General features: G+C 35.3%; 1 protein-coding gene across 4 annotated transcripts in view, besides 1 other annotated feature; it reads left to right on the top strand.

Moving 5' to 3' along the window:
- Window positions 1-23,915, top strand: part of NCKAP1 (NCK associated protein 1) — a 129,343-nt gene that overhangs the window by 66,887 nt on the left and 38,541 nt on the right. For all 4 annotated transcript variants that reach the window (NM_001437266.1, NM_013436.5, NM_001437267.1 and 1 more), the window contains 8 exons: window positions 4,210-4,355; window positions 6,763-6,895; window positions 9,293-9,412; window positions 13,975-14,114; window positions 14,978-15,109; window positions 18,240-18,458; window positions 18,648-18,778; window positions 19,069-19,166. In NM_001437266.1, the coding sequence (NP_001424195.1) occupies window positions 4,210-4,355; window positions 6,763-6,895; window positions 9,293-9,412; window positions 13,975-14,114; window positions 14,978-15,109; window positions 18,240-18,458; window positions 18,648-18,778; window positions 19,069-19,166 (1,119 nt within the window). The remainder of the gene's footprint in view (window positions 1-4,209; window positions 4,356-6,762; window positions 6,896-9,292; window positions 9,413-13,974; window positions 14,115-14,977; window positions 15,110-18,239; window positions 18,459-18,647; window positions 18,779-19,068; window positions 19,167-23,915) is intronic.
- Window positions 21,469-21,968: an enhancer, noted in NCBI's record as "H3K27ac hESC enhancer chr2:183814331-183814830 (GRCh37/hg19 assembly coordinates)". NCBI's record gives its function as "activates a minimal SCP1, AML or CMV promoter by ChIP-STARR-seq in primed H9 embryonic stem cells {active_cell/tissue: H9 hESC(primed)}" and the evidence as "EXISTENCE:reporter gene assay evidence [ECO:0000049][PMID:30033119]".

Genomic DNA, 23,915 nt, shown 5'->3' with positions numbered 1-23,915 from the left:
TGTTGTTTGTTCCATATGAATTTTAGGATTTATTTTTTCTGTTTCTGTAAAGAATGTCATTGGTATTTAGATAGATAGTTTATTGAATCTGTAGATCACTTTGGGTGGTATGTTTAGCAATATCAATTCTTCCAATTCATGAACATGAGATATCTTTTTTTTTTTTTTTTTTTTTTTGAGACGGAGTCTCGCTCTGTCGCCCAGGCTGGAGTGCAGTGGTGGGATCTCGGCTCACTGCAAGCTCCGCCTCCCGGGTTCACGCCATTCTCCTGCCTCAGCCTCCCAAGTAGCTGGGACTACAGGCGCCCGCCACTACGCCCGGCTAATTTTTTGTATTTTTAGTAGAGACGGGGTTTCACCGTTTTAGCCGGGATGGTCTCGATCTCCTGACCTCGTGATCCGCCCGCCTCGGCCTCCCAAAGTGCTGGGATTACAGGCGTGAGCCACCGCGCCCGGCCGATATCTTTTTATCTCTTTGTGTCTTCTTCAGTTTCCTTCATCAATGTTTATAGCTTTCATTGTAGAGATCTTTCACTTTTTGTTTAAGTTTGTTCATAGGCTTTTTTTTTGGTAGTTATTGTAAATGAGATTTCTTGATTTCTTTTTCAGTGTGTTTGCTGTTGACACATGGAAATGCCTCTGATTTTTGTATGTTGAGTTTATGTCATGAAACTGAATTGGTTGATCAGTTTTAATAGTCTTTAGGTTTTTGTAAATATAATATCATATTTTCTTCAGATAAGGACAATTTGATGACTTCTTTTCAAGTTTGCATGCCTTTTATTTATGTCTTTTGTCTAATTGCTTTGGCCAGGACTTCCAGTCCTGTGTTGAATAAAAGTGTTGAAAGCAGGCATCCTTGTATTGTTCCAAATCTCAGGAAATGCTTTCAGTTTTCCCCAATTCAGTGTATTGCTAGCTGCGGGTTCATCATCTATGGCCTTTATTGTTTTCTTCCATACCTAGTTTGTTAAGAGGTATGTTTTTTTCCATACCTAGTTTTTTAAGAGCTATGTTTTCTTCCCTACCTAGTTTGTTAAGAGTTTTTATTATGAAGAGATGTTGAATTTTATTGAATGCATTTTCAGCATCTATTAAAATTATACAGTTTTGTCCTTATGTGCATATGTTGAACCATCTTGTATTTATCTAACTGGATCATGATCTGTTCAGTGTGTTGTTGAATTCTGTGTGCTAGTATTTTGTTCAGCATTTTTGCATCTATGTTCGTAAGTGATGATGGCCTGTAGTTTCTTTTCGTGTAGTTTTGTGTCTTTGTCTGGTTTTGGTATCAGGGTAATGCTGGCCTCATAGAATGAGTATTTGAAAGTATTCCTTCCTCCTCAATTATTTGGAACAGTTTGAGTAGAATTGGTATTAGTTCTTTAAATATTTGCTGGAATTCAGCAGTGAAACCATCAGGTCCCAGGCTTTTCTCTCATGGGAGACTTTTTATTACTGCTTCTATCTCATTACTTATTACTGGTCCTTTCAGGTTTTCTGTTTCTTCTTGGTAGGATGTATGTGTCTAGGAATGTATCCATTTCATGTCGGTTTTCCAGTTCTTTGACATATAGTTGCTCATAATCTCTAATCCTTGGAAGTTTTTGGTATCAGTTGTAATGTCTCCTTTTCTATTTCTGATTTTTTTGGGGTCTTCTTTCTTTTTTTCTTAATTTAGCTAAAGATTTGTCAATTTTATTTTTCCAAAGAACTAACTTTTTATTTTGTTGATCTTTTGTATTCTTTTTAGTCTGAATTTTCTTTATTTCTGCTCCGATCTTTATTACTTATCTCCTTCTGCTAACTTTGGATTTGGTTTATTCTTGCTTTTCTAGTTCTTTAAGGTACATTATTAGGTTATTTGGTCTTTCTACTTTATTAATATAGGTGTTTATTGCTATAAACTTTCCTCTTACTACTGCTTTTGCTGTATCCCATAGGTTTTGGTATATCGTGTTTCTGTTTTTATTTCTTTCAATAAATGTTTTATTTCCTTAATTTCTACATTGTTCAGGAGCATATTGTTTAATTTCCATATGTTAGTTTCCGAAGTTAAAGGTACATTATTAGGTTATTTGGTCTTTCTACTTTATTAATATGAGTGTTTATTGCTATAAACTTTCCTCTTAACTACTGTTTTTGCTGTATTTCATAGGTTTTGGTATATCGTGTTTCTATTTTTAATGTGTTTCAATAAATTTTTTATTTCCTTAATTTCTACATTGTTCAGGAGCATATTGTTTAATTTCCATGTGTTAGTTTCTGAAGTTCCTCTTGTTGATTTCTAGTTTTATTGCACTGTGGTCAGAGAAGATACTTGATATGATTTCAATTTTTTGAATTTGTTGAACTTTGTTTTGTGGCCTAACATATGGTCTCTCCTGGAGACTATCCCATGTTCTGATGAGAAGAATAAATTCTGCTTTTTAAAAATGTGGGACAGTTAATGGAACTCTTTATTGAATTCATGGCCACAGCTATAGCTAATTCCTGTTTATACTCTAAAGCTGATAAATGGTAAGTAAAACTCCTTAGGCTTAGTTTGTGATAAATGTCAAGTATATTTTGTCATCAGAATATTGACATCATTCTACCTCATTCCTTCTTCTTTTCTGGTAGACAAAAACAACAAAATACAAAAGTCTCCTTTGTGGTGTCACTGTCTCATTGAATAGTAACATCATCCACCTATTGGTCCCTTGCCATGGTAGGGTTTGAGGTTTAATTTTTATCCTACTTACAAGGTGATAATTTACTCTCTTACTATTTCATGGATGCTGGCAAGAAGATATGGAGCTCCTGGGTCAGTGACAAAAGACAAAAGACTTCATTCACTGCACAGAAAGCAGCATAGGCATCAGCATATATGCATTATTTCTGCTATTTCCCTAAGCTCTGCAGGTGTGGTACAGAGGAGCCAAAATGAATTCTGTGCATGCAGTCTGTTTGTGTTGCAGATAAGGAACACTAAATTTGAGGAACCCTCTATTTTATCATCAGCTGTAAGCATACTTGCTCTTTGTTCCAAGGGAGACATTACCTCATCCCTCAAATTTGATAGCTGCAAATATAACCCTAAGAAATGGCCTAGAGAATGAGTGGCTCAGGCTTTGCCTTCTTGACATACCCAGCAAGGTGTGTGGGAGCATGAGACCCATGCAGGAGTATCTCCCAACAGCCAAAATCCTGACCATCATCTATAATTCTGTTTCCCACTATATCTAATTATTTCCCAGAGTAAACTCTTTTAAACTACCATTACTCAAAACCAGACCATTGTAATGCCGTCTTATTGCCACTACTGCCTTCTAATAGATTTCTGCTTCCTTTCCCTTCCCAGTCATGCTTCCCTATTTTCCTCACTATACAGAGTAATCTTTCTAAAACAAAAACTGGCCACCACATAGAACCCTTAGTGCTTCACTAAAAAGTTTAAATTCTTTAACGTGGTATACAGGCTGTTCACCATCTGGTTGAATCTCATGTTTTACTATTTCCCTTCTCTTCTTTGCACTCAAACTCTAGCCGTAACAAACAGTACTTATTCTGTAGGCATCCCTTCTATTCTTATTCTCTGCCCTTCTGAAATGTGCCCTATCCATGGACATGATCTGCTTTTTGTGATTTGGTATCCCAGTTGTAGAATTTTTTTCCCCACAACCTATCTTAATGATTTTCGTTTAGTTCTATCACTTTTTTGGCCAAACTACACCAATTTTTACTATCTTCAGTACTTTTCTAGAATTTGTCAAATTAATACAGTGTATTATATGATCCAGTTTTTAGTGAATCAGTATACTCTAAAACCTCATTGAATCAACATGTGCAGTACTTAGTTTTATCTGATTGCTTCCTGTGTGTGTTTTGTCTCTTAAATTAGGTCGAAGATTTCTTTTGGTATGGTTAATATGACAATTAATTGTTTTACACTTTTGATATTTTAACTTCAGTTCCTTTGAGGTTCAGTGTGAATGACTCATATATTAGACACTGTTTTATGGACATTAGTATTTCAGTTTACTAAATAAATTCTTGATAGGAATTTCAAGGTAGGGTCACTACAGACAACTAACACAGTAGATGTTACTGTCAGTGTCACAGTAGATAGTTTAAGTATCTTTCAGTGATGCTTTTCCCCCTGTAAAATGACAAGTCCGAAGTCATTTATGTTTACCTGAACTACTTTTTTTTTTTTGTACTTTATAGGCATATACTAGTGTCTCAAAGGCTTCACTTGGCCTTGCAGATCACAGAGAACTTGGAAAGATGATGAATACAATAATTTTTCATACAAAAATGGTAGATTCCTTGGTGGAAATGTTGGTGGAAACATCAGATCTCTCCATATTTTGGTATGTTGTAATTTTCTCTAAATCTGGATTTGAAAGTTTTAGTATGCGATATATGTTTCTTGATTATTTTTGTGTTAGCATAGTCCTTAAGACAGTTCAGTAATAGATCCTTAAGAATAAAGGGAATAGTGGACTTTTATTAAAATGTGCCAACAAAAAGAAGTTTAACCAAGTTGGGATTTTATGTCTGTTTTTAATTCTCTAAAAGAGCAACTTACTGATGTGACTTTTATTTCTTACATTTTTTTGAGGAGTTGAAAACAGTCACTCCAAATTACCTTAAGGCCCTTCTTTGCATGATTAGACTAAAGGGAAAGAAATGTTGTAGATCAAGGTCAAATAGAGCAAGTGTTGGAAATTAAATGCCTGGTAACTTCACTTCTATGATGTAAAATTAAACATTAATATGAAGATGATGTGGTGACTACCTCCTGCATTGTGCTTCATTCTCTTTTTCTGTTAGAGTCTTTTTGTTATACTTAGTTTATTTTTCTTCCCTCTCTTCCTCCCAGAAAATGTGGTCCTTAATGGCTATAATTTGTTTTGTTAGTGTCTGTCATAGTAGTTATTTAATAAATCTTTGAATGAATAAGTCAACTTAGTTGTGATCAGATTGATAAACAGTGTGGTGGCCAGGCGCGGTGGCTCACGCCTATAATCCCAACACTTGGGAGGCCGAGGTGGGTGAATCACCTGAGGTCAGGAGTTTGAGACCAGCCTGGTCAACATAGTGAAACCCCATCTCTACTGAAAATAGAAAAATTAGTCGGACGTGGTGGTGTGTGCCTGTAGTCCCAGCTACTTGGGAGGCTTGAAGCAGGAGAATCGCCTGAACCTGGGAGGCGGAGGTTGCAGTGAGCCAAGATCACGCCACTGCACTCCAGTCTCGGTGACAGAGTGAGACTGTCTCATAAATAAATAAATACATAACAGTGGGGTTAGGATTCAAAATCAAGAATTCTCGCCTCAAGCTATATAATATCAACTCTATTTTCTGCTTCTTGGCCCTTTATTTTCCTTTAGGGAAGAGGACTGGAATAACCTAGTATGTCTCTTGATTTCTAAAATGCTGAAATGATCTCAGTGGATAGTGATAGTAGTTTCTATGTATGGGATAGAGATCATCATGAAAAGCTTCTCACTGCATTTATTTTGGAAAATAGTATAATCTGTGTTGATTTTGGCAGTTTGTTAGGAAAGCTTGAATTAGCAGTATTGCAGAAGAAATTCAAATCACCAGGTAGAGAAACCATGCCTCTTAAAGGAAATAATGAAACACATTAGGAAGTATACTTTTTAGATTTAGGCACATCACAGGTCAAATTTGCAAGAATTTTTAAGATTATGTGGAGCCCAGGACTACTGTCTGTCTGGCACAAAGTCTACCTTAGGTAGAACATGAAACATTATATGTTTAGATATTTTCAGCTATGCAAAGGATCCTATTCCAAAAGAAGAATACAACAATTAGAAAGTCATATCCCCTTTCTTGGAACTAAAAGCACTTTGAATAATGTTTGAAATTTGTAATTTTCAGTCATACCTGAATTTTATTTATATTTTTTCATAGTTGCATTCTATTTTTGCCTGTCACATCCAAAATAAAGAAATGTTTACTACTTCTGTTTGTCTTATTACTCTAAGATATGTAGTGTTTTATTGACTCACATTCTTTTACATTTAGATTTAACATCTTTAAATGTGGATGCAAATTAAAACTGCTGGCAGGCTGGGTGCCATGGCTCACACCCGCAATTTCAGCACCATGGGAGGCCGAGATGGAGGATTGCTTGAGCCCAAGAGGTTAAGGATGCAGTGAACTGTGATTGTGCCACTGCATTCCAGCCTGGGCAACAAAGTGTCCCCCGTCTAAAAAAAGTTAAAAAAAAAAATAAAATTGATGGCGTGTGATTATTTAATTGGCAATGTTTTTTTTTTCTTAGTGGTTCATAAAATATTTCTCTCTTTTTTTAATTTATTTTTTAAAAATAGAGACAGGGTTTCACCACATTGCCCAGGCTGGTCTCAAACTCCTGGGCTCCAGTGATCCACCTGCCTTGGCCTCCCAAAGTGCTGAGATTATAGGTGTGAGCCACCACACCCAGCCATAATAATGGTATTTTTTCCTATTTATAGTGACTTAGCTTTGATGAAATTTGATTATGTAAGAGGCCATAGATTATGGTTTATTATTTTTTAAAATGTTGTTATTGTTATATAAATAATATTTTTATTACTCTGGGATAATTATTGGTGTGTAAAAGATACTTTGGGGGAAAAATATTCTCTTCTTAAATCAGTGCTACCAGTTATCATTCATTCACTTGAATCAAATTAACTGTAAGGTACTATATCAGAAAACTTACTTTAAATGTAAAAATTGTGATTCTGATTTTTGTTTATATAGTTTTTATAGTCGTGCTTTTGAGAAGATGTTTCAACAGTGTTTGGAGTTACCCTCTCAATCAAGATACTCAATTGCATTTCCACTACTTTGCACTCATTTTATGAGTTGCACGCATGAACTATGTCCAGAAGAGGTAATTATAGTGTACTACTGTGAGTTATATGGTATGCAAAGTAAACTAGATCAAACCTGTAGCCAACCAAATATTTACAGTCATAATTAGCTAACTTAGCTTCCCATCGAATACATCTCTATGCAGAATCAGAAAAGTGCTTGAACAGATACATAGGTTTAATATATATATAGATAAATAAACATAAGTATAATAAGAACATACCATAAAGTCACTTGGAATTACCTTTTTTAAGATAAATGGTGGGTCAGGTATTAATATCTGTGGAAAAGATTTATATAGTAATTGATTTTGTATACTTAATTTTCCTCTTAAACTGTCATGGAAAGGACTCGAAAATTAAATTTATGGATTACTGAATAAGCATAAACAAGTCAAAGAGAGATTCACTAACTTATTATTACTAAATTGTTAATAAATATATTAAGCAAAATCCAGATTTTGTGATACTTGTGGGATACATACATGCATGTGCATACACACACACAGTTGCAGAGTAATTGAACTGCTTGGTAGTTTTGTTGATGCCAAGTATCTGTGAAAAATGTACTCAGTGTTTCTTCTAATCTTTAAAGAAGAAATATTTTCTATGTGATAAAAATATAAAGATTAAATAATGTATTTCTTTATTATAATTTAACTTAGTGTTTAGTCCCTTTACTTAAAATTGCAGAACTTGTAGAAAAGAAACTTAGAGATAGCAGGAACATGGTCAGTTTCTTTAAGCATTAGACAACATCTGTTGCAGATTGTATGCCAGTATTCCAGGGGAAGCCAACTTTGAGACAGAAGTTAGCTTACAGGAAGTTTATTAGGGAATACTTTCAGAATTTCTACCTATGAGGATATTAATACCACGAATTTTAATAGATTTATGAATTTTTTAGATTTAATAGATTTTTTTCTCCCAAACTTGACACCTGAGATGTATTATTAACTGTTTGCTCACCATCAAATTTCTTTTCATTAAATTACCCATAAAATCCTTCTAATTTTATTTATATGTCATGTCTTGAATCCATCCTCTACTTTCCATTGCTATTGTCATTATTACAGTTCAGATTTACGATACTCTTCATATGTACTCTAAATGGAGTTCATCTTTGCCTGGATTACCTAAGTGGTCTCTTTGCTTCTGCCATTGTTCTCCTAAACTTTATTCTTGGCACCGTAGCCAAAGGCAGAGGTCAGATAATAGAGAGATTTGTATGACATGTTAAACCTTAGTTTTTCTCCATCTCAGCATTTCTGAGCTGTTGAAACGGAGTAGTGAAATCAGATTTGTATTTTAAGTAAGTTAGTATCTGTAAAGAACAAATTTGAGCAGTCTTAATTCAGTATTCTTTTTTCAGGAAGAATTAATAGCAGAAGATTTATGTCTTTCAGAAGTCAGAATTTGATTAAACAAAACACTGTTTATTAATTGAAATCTTTCCTAAGGTGAACCAATATTTAATTATATCAGGTTGTAAATCTTTTTTTTGATTTGACTTTCTATTAAAGTTTTACAGGGCATTTTAAATAAAATACGTTAGATATAATAGATCTAGGAAAAGTTATTTTCTATGCTCAAGTATTTTTATATTTTATGTATTTTACACTTATTTCATCATATAAATACTGTATGTAAGCTCTACATATATGATTATGGAAGGTCAGGGCAGGAAAACTGTTAAAAATTTTATTTCTTTGTAAAGTATTAGAAATGTGTAGTGCAAAAATTTACAGTGTTTTATACTCAACATTCCAGTTACCATAGATAAGAAAAAAACAATCAAACGATTGCAGCCCACTAAAACTAAAAAGAGAATCCTGTAGAGATGGATGCATGATCAGCGTTTTTTTTTTTTTTCTTCCTGGGAGCAATAGGGTTTGATTTTAGAGATTTGAATGCCTTGGACTTTCTATTACCAAATTGATTTCTCACCATTTTATTTAAACATTTGAGCTCTTCTTTCCTGTTTATACAAAGTTATGCCACAATTTATACATTTATAGAGACACAGATTTTAAATGAAATAAGATTGGAAACAGTACTCTAAATCTGTTTGCTTTCACATTATATGTTTAATATTTTAACATTTAAGAACTGGATATAGGACTTTGTGGAATTTGAAAATTAAATACATAGTTTTTCATGTTAAGCAAAATACTGATTTTTCAAGACTCCTCCCAGTTATACATTGCTTTCACAATCACCAAATACTTTGTCATTTATGTTCAAATACAGTATGGTGAGTTAGTTGTTACAAGAGGCAAAAGCAATTTTTAACATCTCCCACCCTCACTATTGCGGAATGTACCTTTAGCCTAATTTTCCATGTCTATTTAGAAGTCTTTTTAATTCAACGTACTTTCTTTATAACTTGTATTATTATTATTATTCTGCCTTCACAGCGACATCATATTGGAGATCGCAGTCTTTCCTTATGTAATATGTTCCTAGATGAAATGGCCAAACAAGCTCGAAATCTCATCACTGATATTTGCACAGAACAGTGTACCCTTAGTGACCAGGTAATGATTTAAGTGTTTCCAACAGATAGGAAATTTTGTGTGAAGGCAAGAAAATGTGCTTTTAGCCAGTTGTTGTTTTACTTTCCATTCTTTAGTTCCCACACTATTAGTAAACCTCAAACCTCTGCTGTGAAACTCCATTAACAGGTATAATTTCTTAGATGTAAACTTTCTGGCAAGACTGTACGTACTGTTTGTGTTCTTTAATCAGGAGTCACGTGTAGTTTTTACATGTGTGTAGTGTTAGCACCTGATTCTGCTATTTCTTGAAAGTTGCAAAAGAACTGGAATTAAGCATATTTGGTGATTTTCAATCCACTGTACTTATAATTCAGATTGAAGCTCAGATTGCCCCGTCATTGGCTAGTGGGAGTCCTTTTTTTTTTCTTTCCAACTTTAAGCATCTATTTATTTATTTATTTATTTTTTATTATACTTTAAGTTTTAGGGTACATGTGCACAACGTGCAGGTTAGTTACATAGGTATACATACGCCATGTTGGTGTGCTGCACCCATTAACTCGTCATTTAACATTAGGTATATCTCCTAATGCTATCCCTCCCCAATTTCCCCACCCCACAACAGGCCCCAGTGTGTGATGTTCCCCTTCCTGTGTCCATGTGTTCTCATTGTTCAATTCCCACCTATGAGTGAGAACATGTGGTGGTTGGTTTTTTGTCCTTGCGATAGTTTGCTGAGAATGATGGTTTCCAGCTTCACCCATGTCCCTACAAAGGACATGAACTCATTTTTTATGGCCGCATAGTATTCCATGGTGTATATGTGCCACATTTTCTTAATCCAGTCTATCATTGTTGGACCTTTGGGTTGGTTCCAAGTCTTTGCTATTGTGAATAGTGCTGCAATAGACATACGTGTGCATGTGTCTTTATAGCAGCATGTTTTATAATCCTTTGGGTATATACCCAGTAATGGGATGGCTGGGTCAAATGGTATTTCTAGTTCTAGATCCTTGAGGAATCGCCACACTGACTTCCACAATGGTTGAACTAGTTTACAGTCCCACCAACAGTGTAAAAGTGTTCCTATTTCTCCACATCTTCTCCAGCACCTGTTGCTTTCTGACTTTTTAATGATCGCCATTCTAACTGGTGTAAGATGGTATCTCATTGTTGTTTTTGATTTGCATTTCTCTGATGGCCAGTGATGATGAGCATTTTTTCATGTGTCTTTTGGCTGCATAAATGTCTTCTTCTGAGAAGTGTCTGTTTATATCCTTCAGCCACTTTTTGATGGGGTTGTTTGTTTTTCTTGTATATTTGTTTGAGTTCATTGTAGATTCTGGATATTAGCCCTTTGTCAGATGAGTAGATTGTAAAAATTTTCTCCCATTCTTTAGGTTGCCTGTTCACTCTGATGGTAGTTTCTTTTGCTGTGCAGAAGCTCTTTAGTTTAATTAGATCCCATTTGTCAATTTTGGCTTTTGTTGCTATTGCTTTTGGTGTTTTAGACATGAAGTCTTTGCCCATGCTTATGTCCTGAATGGTATTGCCTAGGTTTTCTTCTAGAGTTTTTATGGTTTTAGGTCTAACATGTAAGTCTTTAATCCATCTTGAATTAACTTTTGTATAAGGTGTAAGGAAGGGATCCAGTTTCAGCTTTCTACATATGGCTAGCCAGTTTTCCCAGCACCATTTATTAAATAGGGAATCATTTCCCCATTGCTTGTTTTTCTCAGGTTTGTCAAAGATCAGATGGTTGTAGATATGCGGCATTATTTCTGAGGGCTTTGTTCTGTTCCATTGGTCTATATCTCTGTTTTGGTACCAGTACCATGCTGTTTTGGTTACTGTAGCCTTGTAATATAGTTTGAAGTCAGGTAGCGTGATGCCTCCGGCTTTGTTCTTTTGGCTTAGGATTGACTTGGCAATGCGGGCTCTTTTTTGGTTCCATATGAACTTTAAAGTAGTTTTTTCCAATTCTGTGAAGAAAGTCATTGGTAGCTTGATGGGGATGGCATTGAATCTATAAATTACCTTGGGCAGTGTAGCCATTTTCACGATATTGATTCTTCCTACCCATGAGCATGGAATGTTCTTCCATTTGTTTGTATCCTCTTTTATTTCATTGAGCAGTGATTTGTAGTTCTCCTTGAAGAGGTCCTTCACGTCCCTTGTAAGTTGGATTCCTAGGCATTTTATTCTCTTTGAAGCAATTGTGAATGGGAGTTCACTCATGATTTGGCTCTCTGTCTGTTATTGGTGTATAAGAATGCTTGTGATTTTTGCACATTGATTTTGTATCCTGAGACTTTGCTGAAGTTGCCTATCAGCTTGAGATTTTGGGCTGAGACAATGGGGTTTTCTAGATATACAATCATGTCCCCTGCAAACAGTGACAATTTGACTTTCTCTTTTCCTAATTGAATGCGCTTTATTTCCTTCTCCTGCCTGATTGCCCTGGCCAGAACTTCCAACACTGTGTTGAATAGGAGTGGTGAGAGAGGGCATCCCTGTCTTGTGCTGGTTTTCAAAGGGAGTGCTTCCAGTTTTTGCCCATTCAGTATAATATTGGCTGTGGGTTTGTCATAGATGGCTGTTATTATTTTGAGATACATCCTATCAATACCTAATTTATTGAGAGTTTTTAGCATAAAGGGCTGTTGAATTTTGTCAAAGGCCTTTTGTGCATCTGTTGAGATAATCATGTGGTTTTTGTCGTTGGTTCTGTTTATATGCTGGATTACATTTATTGATTTGCATATGTTGAACCAGCCTTGCATCCCAGGGATGAAGCCCGGCTTGTGGGAGTCCTTATAGTCATTTGAGAGCTTTCTTGTTATCTGGTGTGACAAGATGTACCAGCCTTTCTAGTAGCTCTGTCTCTTGTGAAGAGTGTTATAGAGATTCAACACTCTGGTCTCTTTAATATTGTTGAAGTTGCAAATGTCCGTAGAAATTTTCATTTTAGGAAGGAACTCCTTTGTCACAATAGAAATGCAATGTAATTTCTTATGCATTTTTTTCCCCAAATACCAATCCCATGGCTTTAGTTACTATCTAGGTATAATGACTAAATAACTTTCCTTGGCCCAGCTCTGTCCAATGGAGATACTATGTAAACCACATATGTAATTTAAAATTTTGTAGTAGCCATACACAAAACTTAGAAAGAAACAGGTAAAGCTAATTTTAAAAACAATGATTCAACCCTATATACCCCAAAATGTTATTATGTCAGCATGTAATCATATGAATGAAATATTGTATAGTTTTTATTATACTAAATCTTTGAAATCTGGTGTTTATCTTATAACACAGCTGAATTTGGACTGGGCACATTTCACATGTGGCTACTGTAATGTACAGTGAAGCTCTCCTTCTACCTAAAATGTTATTTCTTATTTCTCATTTGCCTGCTTTGTTACCTGTCAAGTGAAATCAATTATTTCTGATTTGTACCTGTGTGGTTTTTTTGTTTTAATTATTGGTCTTAACAATGTGTTAGGTAGAAACCTCTGTGTCATACTTGATTCCTGCTTCTCTCACACATCTAAGTTACTGAATCCTTTCAATTTTATCTCAGAAGTCTGTCTCAGATCTGCCCATTAAAATTTTTTTATTACACTTGCCTATTTCATATCCCTTTTTCATGCCTTGTCTGAACTATTTCTAGCAGCTCTGTTACAATTTTCCTTTTTCAGTGTTTTCTTCTGCCAATATCAGAGTTATCCTTAGAAAATTACCTCTTCATGGCCAGGCATGGTGGCTCACGCTTGTAATCCCAGCACTTTGGGAGGCCGAGGCAGGTGGATCTCCTGAGGTCAGGAGTTCGAGACCAGCCTGGCCAACATGGCGAAACCCCATCTCTACTAAAAATATACAAATAAAATTAGCTGGGTGTGGTGGCAGTCGACTGTAGTCCCAGCAGCTCAGGAGGCTGAGGCAGGAGAACCCAGGAGGCAGAGGTTGCAGTGAGCTGAGATTGTGCCATTGCATTCCAGCCTGGGCAACAAGAGTGAAACTCCTTCTCAAAAGAAAAGAAAAGAAAAGAAAATGTCTCCTCATGCTGTGGCTATTTTAAAAAATTGTCGCTGTCTTTTTGCCTGCAGTTTACAATCCAACCTCTAGCTTGGCATTCAAGGCCCTTCCTAATAGTTGAAACCTCTGTACTTTACCTTACACGTTATGCTCCACCACATAGTAGTTCTAACTACAGCTCTGAACCATCATATCTTTACACAGTTTTTTTCCAAAGGCCATTTAATCCTTCCAGTGAAATATTCTTTTTCATTCCTTGCTTGCCTGGTATGTTTTTACTTGTCTTTTTAATAGTAATTTAAATAAGCGTCTATGAATTTACTCTATGACGTGTTTCTTCACACAAGATTTACCCAAGATCTACCCGTTTCTGTTTTCACCAAGCTATGTGCATTACCCAAGCTAGCTAAGTAAGCTCTGTATCTCACTTATATTTCTGTCTTTTAATATTGTTGTGATATTTGCAACACAGCCTGGATTCAGCTACTGTTTGCTTGAATAGTTAGTATGCTTTCAGAGTAATTGGTGTAATGTAAGATTTCATTCTTTTCTAAATTTAGTTGCTACCCAAGCATTGTGCCAAAACTATCAGTCAAGCAGTGAATAAGAAATCAAAAAAGCAGACTGGTAAGAAAGGGGAACCTGAAAGGGAGAAACCAGGTGTTGAGAGCATGAGGAAAAACAGGCTGGTTGTGACCAAGTAAGTATCCACTTATATTATACCTTTTTGCTCCAGGTAAAATATTTATTTCATTTTTTTCTATTGACATTAGTACTGAGGAAATGCTAATAATTGTATATTCTTCATTTTCCAGCCATTTTAAAAAATATTTCTGAGCTTAATTAACCTGTTAGTTGCTTATTTCATCTCAAAATACAGATTTTGGCCTTTAGAAGAAAATATATGTAATAGTTGATATTTGTCTTTTTATACTAAGTACTGAAGGCCAATTATATGTTTAAAAAATTTTGTGTGTTACATTATAAGCAATCTGTAATTTTTAATTTATTTAAAGTTAGATAGTGGAGACTTTATTTTGGCATGTTTTTGATATATTAGAACATACCCAATGTCATTATTATAAAACAGAAATAACAGACCAGGTAGCATTCAGGGATCTTTGCTTGCTTCATTGTTTGGAGGGGAGGTGTAGGTGGGTAATAATTCGGTAAATATTTTTTGTTTAAAGTATAGTTCCTACTTTCTTGCTAAATTGAGCAAGCCATTGCCCTTTTATAGACAACTTTCCTTCTCTCATAACAGAAAGTACTTCAGGAATTGGGCGTGATTATCTTTATGAGTGCAGAATAAGCTCTACCTTTGTATATTAAGTCAGTATATTCATTACTACCTAAAGGTAGAAACAAATGACGCCATCTTTAGAATATTGCTCTTATGTGTTAGTTATAACCTTAAAGATTTTGAACTTTCTCAGTTTAGGAGAATAAAAAGTCGAATTCTCTAAGCATTATCTCCAAATAAGGTTGATATATTTATAAAATTAATTTTGTATTGCCTGTGATGACATGTGAACATTTTAACTGTTTATTAATTTTTTTCAGCCTTGATAAATTGCACACTGCACTTTCTGAGTTATGCTTCTCTATAAATTATGTACCAAACATGGTGGTATGGGAACATACCTTTACCCCACGAGAATATTTGACTTCTCATCTGGAAATACGCTTTACCAAGTAAGAAAGAATATTGACTGTTTTTGTTTGTTGACTCAGTAATGAGTTTGTTATTTAATTATACAGTGTTTTATAAGGAAAAGCATTAGTAGAACTGGATTAGTGTTAAGAATAATGAACCGGGCCGGGCGTGGTGGCTCACGCCTATAATCCCAGCACTTTGGGAGGCCGAGGTGGGCAGATCACGAGGTCAGGAGATCGAGACCATCCTGGCTAACACAGTGAAACCCCGTCTCTACTAAAAATACAAAAAATTAGCTGGGCGTGGTGGTGGGCACCTGTAGTCCCAGCTACTCGGGAGGCTGAGGCAAGATAATGGCGTGAACCCGGGAGACACACTTGCAGTGAGCCAAGATCATGCCACTGCACTCCAGCCTGGGTGACAGAACAAGACTCTGTCTCAAGAATAATGAACTGGGAAATGCAAAGAATAGTGAACTGAAAATTACTGAAGATACCCAGATTCTTTTCTCATACCTATTAGTATTAACTAGTAACACCAGGCAAACCAGTTAATATCTCTGAGTCATAGCTTCCTTATATACAAAGTGAGAATATTGGAGCAAATCAATGTATTTCATCTTGCAGGTGGCAACCCAGTAGGTTCATGAAATCAGTTTATTAGGTTGTAGTCAAAGTTTAGAGAAAAGTGGGAGGGAAAGAAAGGACAAGAGGAAGAAAAAATAGGAAAAAAAACCCAGTACACTGTGTGCATTAAATATATATATTGCTTCGTGAAATGTTTCAGTTACATGTATGCATGTGTATTGACTTGCAGTGTTAAGATGCGTGTCATGCAGTAGGTCACAGTAAAATGTTTGAAGACCTGAGGACTAGATGAACCCTTACATGTTTTCTGAATTCACATGTTGCTGTTAAATAAGCCAATAGAATTCTAGATTCTTGAATTCTCAATTCTAATTAGAATTTCCTGTTATATATGAATATATATTTTATGTATGTATATGAAATAGTGCATTGATAAGTCAGAAACCTTTCAACTTTATATATATTGTTTTAACCTTTTTCTGAAGTTACATCCTTATTTATTAATATTTATTCATGAAAATTTTTATTTATTTGACAATTTTTTTCTTCAAAGCCTTGAAGCAATTTATAAAACAAAATTTTGCCAAAAGGTTTTCAAAGTTTCTGTAGTCATTAACAGGTGGTGTTTGTATTTGCACTATATGCTTAACAATGTGTTAAGTACTCTAGGTAATAATGAGATAAAGATAGAACTGTAGCTGGTGAGATGACTAAAAGAATTAGAGAACAGAATATGACAGTATATAAAGTGGCACTAAGTTGAGTGTTAAATTATCAGTTGACTTGAGAAGAGTCTGGTGATGAACTGTCTTTTGTTCTCCTTAGTAAGTCAGGCATCCTGACAGTAAAACCCAGAATGCCCTAGAACTTAGACCAAAGGGGCATTGTGCCTTGTGGTGTTTATTATTCTCAAGTGGGTTAGAGGTGGGACATTGGTGGGTGGAAGGGAGAGTTCAGTGTACAGCTCCCTTGTTTTCCTTGTAAACAGTCTGCTTTGTTAATCCACAGAGAAGCAGTTTTTTTTTTAACCAAACATCTACTTAGTGATTAGGATCAAGGCAAGGGGAACAGCTTGTTTACCTTGGAAAGATTTTTTATTTTATTTAATTTATTTATTTATTTATTTTGAGACGGAGTTTTGTTCTTTCGTCCAGGCTGGAGTGCAGTGGCACAATCTCAGCTCACTGCAACCTCCATCTCCCAAGTTCAAGCAATTCTCCTGCCTCAGCCTCCCGAGTAGCTGGGACTACAGGCGTGTGCCACTGTGCCTGGTTAATTTTTGTATTTTTAGTAGAGACGGGGTTTCGCCATATTGGCCAGCCAGATAGCTTGTGAATATTAGTGGGTTGGTTTTTGTCAATCAACTGAGCACAGTCTTAGGACTTAGGGATTATACACTAGGATAGCAGTTTTCATCTTGCGTTGGCTCTTCTTGGCCTGTTTCTAGTGATGGGATTTGTCGGTTGTCTTTTAAGGATTCATCCTTACAAATACAAGTCTAAGATCTTTACAGATCTAATGCTCAGGGAGTTTTAAAGAAAGTGAAATAGGGGTGGTCAGTGTAGGATAAGATCATTTAGGGAAGTATTTTCAAAATTTGTGTTTCCTTTTTAGTCGTATACAGTTTCTTGAGATATAAACAGAACTGTTTTATATGCTATGAGTGATTAAAGAAAATAAAGTTGTTTGTTGCCTTATTTTGTTTGACTGTCATACAGTTTGTTTAGAGGCAGCACTAAGTCAGGCAGATCTGCGGTCAAATCCTAGTCATAACCACTTCCCAACAAAACCTTATCAATTTATGTGAGTCCTGAGCTTTATTTTTTTCCTCTGGGAGATATAGTGATAAGTACATTGTAGGTGTTTATTAAATGTGAGGATTGTAGGTAATTTATATAAAGCCTCAAAAACTACTGGCACCTAACAGTGTCAAATAAATTCAAGCTGTAGACTAAATAGTTCACTGTCCTTGCTACAAACAACTTACCATGTTAAAGCAATTTGTAAAACCCTCTTTATACTTAAATCACTTTTGTTACTGGTATACTTAGAATGTTTTTAATCATTTTATTCACATTTCGTTGTAGTTTTTAAGTTTTCTTTTTTCTTTTTTTTTTAAGACAGTCTCACTCTGTTGCCCAGGCTGGAGTGCAGTGGTGCAATCTCAGCTCACTGCAACCTCTGCCTGCTGGGTTCAAGCGATTCTCCTGTCTCAACCTCCCAAGTAGCCAGGATTACAGGCATGTGCCAGGCCCAGCTAATTTTTGTATTTTTAGTGGAGACAAGGATTCACCATGTTGGCCAGGATGGTCTCGAACTCCTGACTTCAAGTCATCTGCCCGCCTCGTCCTCCCAAAATGCTGGGATTACAATAGGCGTGAACCACCATGCCCGGCCTTCATTCTTTTTTTACGCTGTTTCCTGGGAAGATAATGACAGTAATTTTACAGCTTTGTAATAAATTATTTTTAAAGTTAATTTTATTGCTTGTTTAATATTAGATAACAGTAGGTTGAGTGGTTTATTTTACATGAATGGAAAAGTCAGAGGCTTTTCTTATTCTTCTATCCCTTCTTCCCAGGTCAATTGTTGGGATGACTATGTATAATCAAGCCACACAGGAAATTGCAAAACCTTCAGAACTTCTAACAAGTGTAAGAGCATACATGACCGTACTCCAGTCAATAGAAAACTATGTGCAGATTGATATTACAAGAGTATTTAATAATGTGCTTCTTCAACAAACACAACATTTAGACAGTCATGGAGAGCCAACCATTACAAGTCTATACACAAATTGGTAAGGAATGCATTTAGAAATTTGTAGTAGCGGAAAATTTGTAATGAAGTACTTAGGAAAATTAATTTTTTTGTGAATAAGTACTTATTCATATTATCAGTCAACTTAAAATTATATGCAGGAATGTATATCATGATACATTCTGAATTAAGCAGTTTCTTCCGGTTATAAGTTTACGTTTCTCCTTAGGTATTTGGAAACTTTGTTACGACAAGTCAGCAATGGCCATATAGCATATTTTCCTGCAATGAAAGCGTTTGTGAACTTACCTACAGAAAATGAATTAACATTCAATGCAGAGGAATATTCTGACATATCAGGTGAATAGTACTATACCACAGTTTAGAGAATGAAGAACACTTAATTCTTTTGCTAGTGTCTTGATTCTTTAGACTTTTGATTCTGTTGTGACTATTTCATTCAATTATATGCGTAACTGCATATTGTATCTTAGAATTACTTTTGCATTTTGTATTCTCTCTTTCACTCTAGAGACTTTTATCAGGATTTTACATTAGTTTTTATAATGAGATGTTGTATTGTGTTAATGTTCATTTTCTTAAAGTATTTGCTCTGTCGGAAGTATAAAATTAAGTATGTTTTCTTTCAGAAATGAGGTCATTATCAGAACTACTAGGCCCATATGGTATGAAGTTTCTAAGTGAAAGCCTTATGTGGCATATTTCATCACAAGTTGCTGAACTTAAGGTAATATAGTCTTTATTAATTTTAGCTTTTAAACATTAATTCCTGAAAAACATTTCAGGGATATGAGCAACAAGCCTACAATGTTAATTATTTTAATCCAACATGAAAGTACTAATATGAAAATGAAAATTAAATAGCTAGCAAGGCCTTTTTATGGCATCTTAGTTTAGTTTTCTCTATTTTGTAGGTGAGAAAATGGAAAGCGAAAATAGGTGAATTGACTTGGTAAAGGGGACAGAACCTCAGAGTCTTTGGCTTGTGGTCAGGCCTTCATAGTATTGAATCATGATGTTTTCTTTGAAATACCAGCTTCAAAATTCCAGCCAAAGTTAACAATTTGTTCACACTTGCGGTTTGAATGTATTTGCTTTCCATAGATTATAATACAAAAATTACTGGGCTTATTGCTTTTTCTTAGGTAATCTTTTAAATTATCTTATGCCCTCTAAGTTGAATGAAAAATGCCTTCAGAATGCTTAATGTTTCAGTAAAGATGTAAAGGAACTGAAGCAACAACATTTTAAATACCTTTTTATTAGCCTTTTAGAAATATCCTACAGCTACGGTGATTTATATTAAACGAATCTGTATATATAATAACTATGTAGTTTTTGAAAGAATTTGAACTTGGGCCACCAAAACTTTTGAACTTACAAGCAGAATAGAGAAATCATGTTTTAAAATAAACATTTTCTTCGTAAAAGCTTTTTGGTGGTTACTTGAGTCTTGATATTTTAGTTTTTGTTTGTTTGTTTTTTTTTTTTTTTTGAGATGGAGTCTCACTGTGTTGCCCAGGCTGCAGTACAGTGGCACAATCTCAACTCACTGCAACTTCCACCTCCGAAGTAGCTGGGACTACAGGCACGCACCACCAAGCCTGGCTTATTTTTGTATTTTTAGTAGAGACGGTGTTTCACCGTGTTGGCCAGGCTGGTCTCGAACTCCTGACCTCAAGAGATCCACCCACCTCGGCCTCCCAAAGTGCTGGGATTACAGGCATGAGCCACCGTGCCTGGCCAATTTTTAGTTTCTTAAGAAAATGATAGACGGTAGTGGTAAGTAGCTTACAGTTCAGATGTAGCACATAGAGTTCTAAATGTGGTTAATCTGATTTACTGAAAATTGAGCAAATATATAGAACAAGTTAATTTCCACAAACTTAATAGTATTTTGCTGAGTGAATAAATAGCAAGAGTCAGTGTGACTAAAAGCTTAGTATAATCAAAGATTTAAGGAGAGGCAATATTACCCATTGGTTAAGAACTCAAGCTTTCAGCCAGGCGTGGTGGCTCATGCCTGTAATCCAGCACTTTGGGAGGCCGAGGTGGGGGATTGCCTGAAGTTAGGAGTTCAAGACCAGCCTGGCCAACATGGTGAAATCCCCCCTCTACTGAAAATACAAAAATTAGCTGGGTGTGGTGGTGGGCACTTGTAATCCCAGCTACTAGGGAGGCTGAGGCAGGAGAATCACTTGAACCCGGGAGGCGGAGGTTGCAGTAAGCTGAGATCACACCACTGCACTCAAGCCTGCATGACAGAGTGAGACTCTGTCTCAAAAAAAAGAAAAAACTCAAGCTTTCAAGTTAGACTTTCCTGAATTTCAGACCTGTCACTTACAAGCTTTGATTTCGGACAAATGTTTAAGCTTGTACTTTGAGAGAATTTTATGAGATCATGCATGTCAAGCTTTTAGGTACTCAGCATAATGTCTGTTATTTTAGTATTCATTGTATCATTATCCTCTCATTGTTATTTTTAAAGTTTTCTGCAATTATTGTATAAAAGTCAACTTTTAGATGGCTTAAAATATAAAGTTTATAAACTTTATATGGTTGTAAATATACAAACATTGAAATGCTGGTCTTGGTTCTTTACAAGCAGTATCATTCTTATTTATTAGACTAATTCTGCTGTAAATACATAATTTTTTTCTATCCTACTGTTCTCAAATAAGAAATTTCTCATCTCCAATTTTTTTTCTTGTGTTCCTTCAGTATGAGATAATAGAAGAATTATGGCTCTGAAATTTTACTTTAGCCAGCTATTTTTTATTTCAGACTGAATAAACTAGGCACTTCTAGAATTATCTGTATTATTTTTTGCTTTTTTGTTATTTAATTTGATGGATACAGTATCATGGTATGGTAATAAAAATTAGCCTATTTTGAGTCTCTCTGAATTCATTTATATGAACAGTTCCTTAATACTGCAAGGATCTGGCCTTCTGCTTTTCCTTCCTCCTTCACTTTTCTAGCATGGCTGGCCTGATTGCTGTTGTGTCATTTCAAACTACCCTTCACTAAGACATGGTCATAACTTGCCTGTTCGTGACATTCATGTATTTTTCATATGTCACCGTATCAGAATGTCCTTCCTGACCAAGCTTTCTAAAATAGCAAACATCACTTTTTATTCTCTTCATTCAGCTGTATGTGTATCTTAATTGTGACCTCTCATGCAGTGTATTTGTTCATGTCACTCTCACTAGAGTATAAATGCAGTTCTAAACTCTGTTAAAACCTTGCTGCAGACCTAACACATATTAGGCACTTAGTAAATATTTGTTGGATGCAAAAATAAAAATAGCTAGCTTTGTTTGTTTATTTGTTGGAGACAGAGTCTTGCTGTGTCACCCAGGCTGGAGTGCAGTGGTGTGATCATGACTCACTGCCAGCTTGGCCCCCCTGGGCTCAGGCGATTCTGTCACCTCAGCCTCCTGAGTAGCTGGGACTACAGGCATGTGCCAGCAAGTACGGCTAATTTTTTGTAGAGACAGGGTTTCGCCATATTGCCCAAGCTGGTCTCTAACTCCTGGGCTCAAATGGTCCACCCACCTCAGCCTCTTAAAGTGCTGGGATTACAGGCACGAGCCACTGTGCCTGGCCCCAGCTTTCTTAACTCTGTTTTATTCAAGGACTTTTCTAAGATCTTCACTTATCTTATTAACTCCTTTACATCTTTAAAAGAGGTGTTTTCCTTATTTTACAAATTAGGAAAGTGAGGCCAAGAAGGATTAAATAACTTACGCACGCTCACATTTTAGTCAGTGGTGAAACTGAAATTTGAACTCAGTCTGTCTAGCACCACAGATTATGCTAGTACCATGCTACACTGCCTGTAGAGCTGAGAGGGATCTCAGTAGTCATCTAACCTACTCCTATCTGATGAAGGAGCACATGTTGCATTTTTCTAGATGTATTAGCTAGTCTTTTTGAAAATGAGGCCATCTTATCAATTACTGTACATCTCTAGTTTATGTTGATTTAGTATCTAAGTAGTAATTTTTTATTGGTCCTTATTCTTACATCAAGAGGCAGGGATTGCCTTTGACGAGATCACTCTTCACGTATTTAAAAACTGCTTCCCTTCATGTATCATCTTTCTCTTCCTCGTGTGGAATATATTCATATTCAGTCTCTTTGCCATCTTTCTCACTCCTTCCTCTGTACAAACTCTGTTTTTTTTGTTGTCACTCTTAGAGAATAGTGCCCTGAACCAAGAATGAGTTTCAGATAAGGTGTGATGAGTGAGAGTACATTTATCTATTCTGGATACTGTACTTACTGACACAGTTTAAGATAGCATGAACACATTTGGTAGCTATGCCATACTGTTTTCACAATCAACTTGCAATCAGATGAATTGTCTCTTTTTTTCACTTATGCTAACCTTAAACCATGGCTTTCCACATCTTATATTTTGTGAAATTTTTAGACCTGAGTGTATGCTTTGTAGTTTTTCTTAGTAGAGTTTATCTTGTTAGGTATTGTCCATTATTCTAGGGTCTTTTTTTGAGTACAGATTTTATCCTAGTCTTTTAACAATTATTTTATAAACTTAACTATTTTAGCCTTGTCTGTAAGTATGAATGTTATCAAATATATTCTCATTCTTGAGAAGAAATGGAAGGTGCTTATGTTTTAACATTTCTCTCTTATATTTTGGAGTGGCTGTATTCTCGCTCAGATATTAAAATTTAAAGTTAGGGGAATGCGGAACGACTGTAAACAATGTTGACTTTTTAAATATCCTTAACCAAGATGGTTAAGGATGTTAAAACATTTTTTCTTGAAAACTTTTGATGTTAGCTTTCTAGTAATCTCCTATGTGATTCTTTTCTTACTTGACTTTTCATTTTACCTTCATAATAACTTCCATATTTTATTAATGATTTAATATTGTAGTAATATTTTTTGGTATTTGTTTTTACTTTTTTGCTTCTCAAATACTAAATCCTGACTTATTTAAGGATTATGTTTTTCAGAAGGCTTCCTATGAAATATTTATATTTTTAATATTGTGCCTTCATCATTTAGTTCTTCAAAACAAGGTTAATTGTAAGGATTCCATTTTCTGGAATTGTATAATGTTTTATAGTGATTTTGTTTGAGTTCTCTCCTAATAATCCAGATTGTTTAGTATTCAACTACTTGTGTATTATTAAGAACTTGAGAAGGTGTTTATTTGTGACTTTGTTTTCTCAGCCTCTGTGTACTGAGGCATACTTCATACGTATTCTTATATTTTATTACATAAGAAATCCTACAGATCATAATGATGTTTCATATAGATAAATTCAGTGTGTTGTATACTAGTCTGTCTCATTGAAATAAATCTCTAAAAGTTATTCTGTCAGTGATGATTCTAATTTTTTTAGCGTCCTATAAAATTTCCTTAGAATAACCTAATTTTTGAAATTATAGGAACAAAAGAACTTACAGATTTTTGCTTCCAGTATTGGTAGGTAAT

This window comes from Homo sapiens, chromosome 2 (assembly GCF_000001405.40).
Source record: "Homo sapiens chromosome 2, GRCh38.p14 Primary Assembly".
In the NCBI taxonomy this organism is placed as follows: Eukaryota; Metazoa; Chordata; class Mammalia; order Primates; family Hominidae; genus Homo; species Homo sapiens.
The sequence above is the reverse complement of the archived record's forward strand: the minus strand, read 5'-3'. Positions and strand labels throughout refer to the sequence as shown.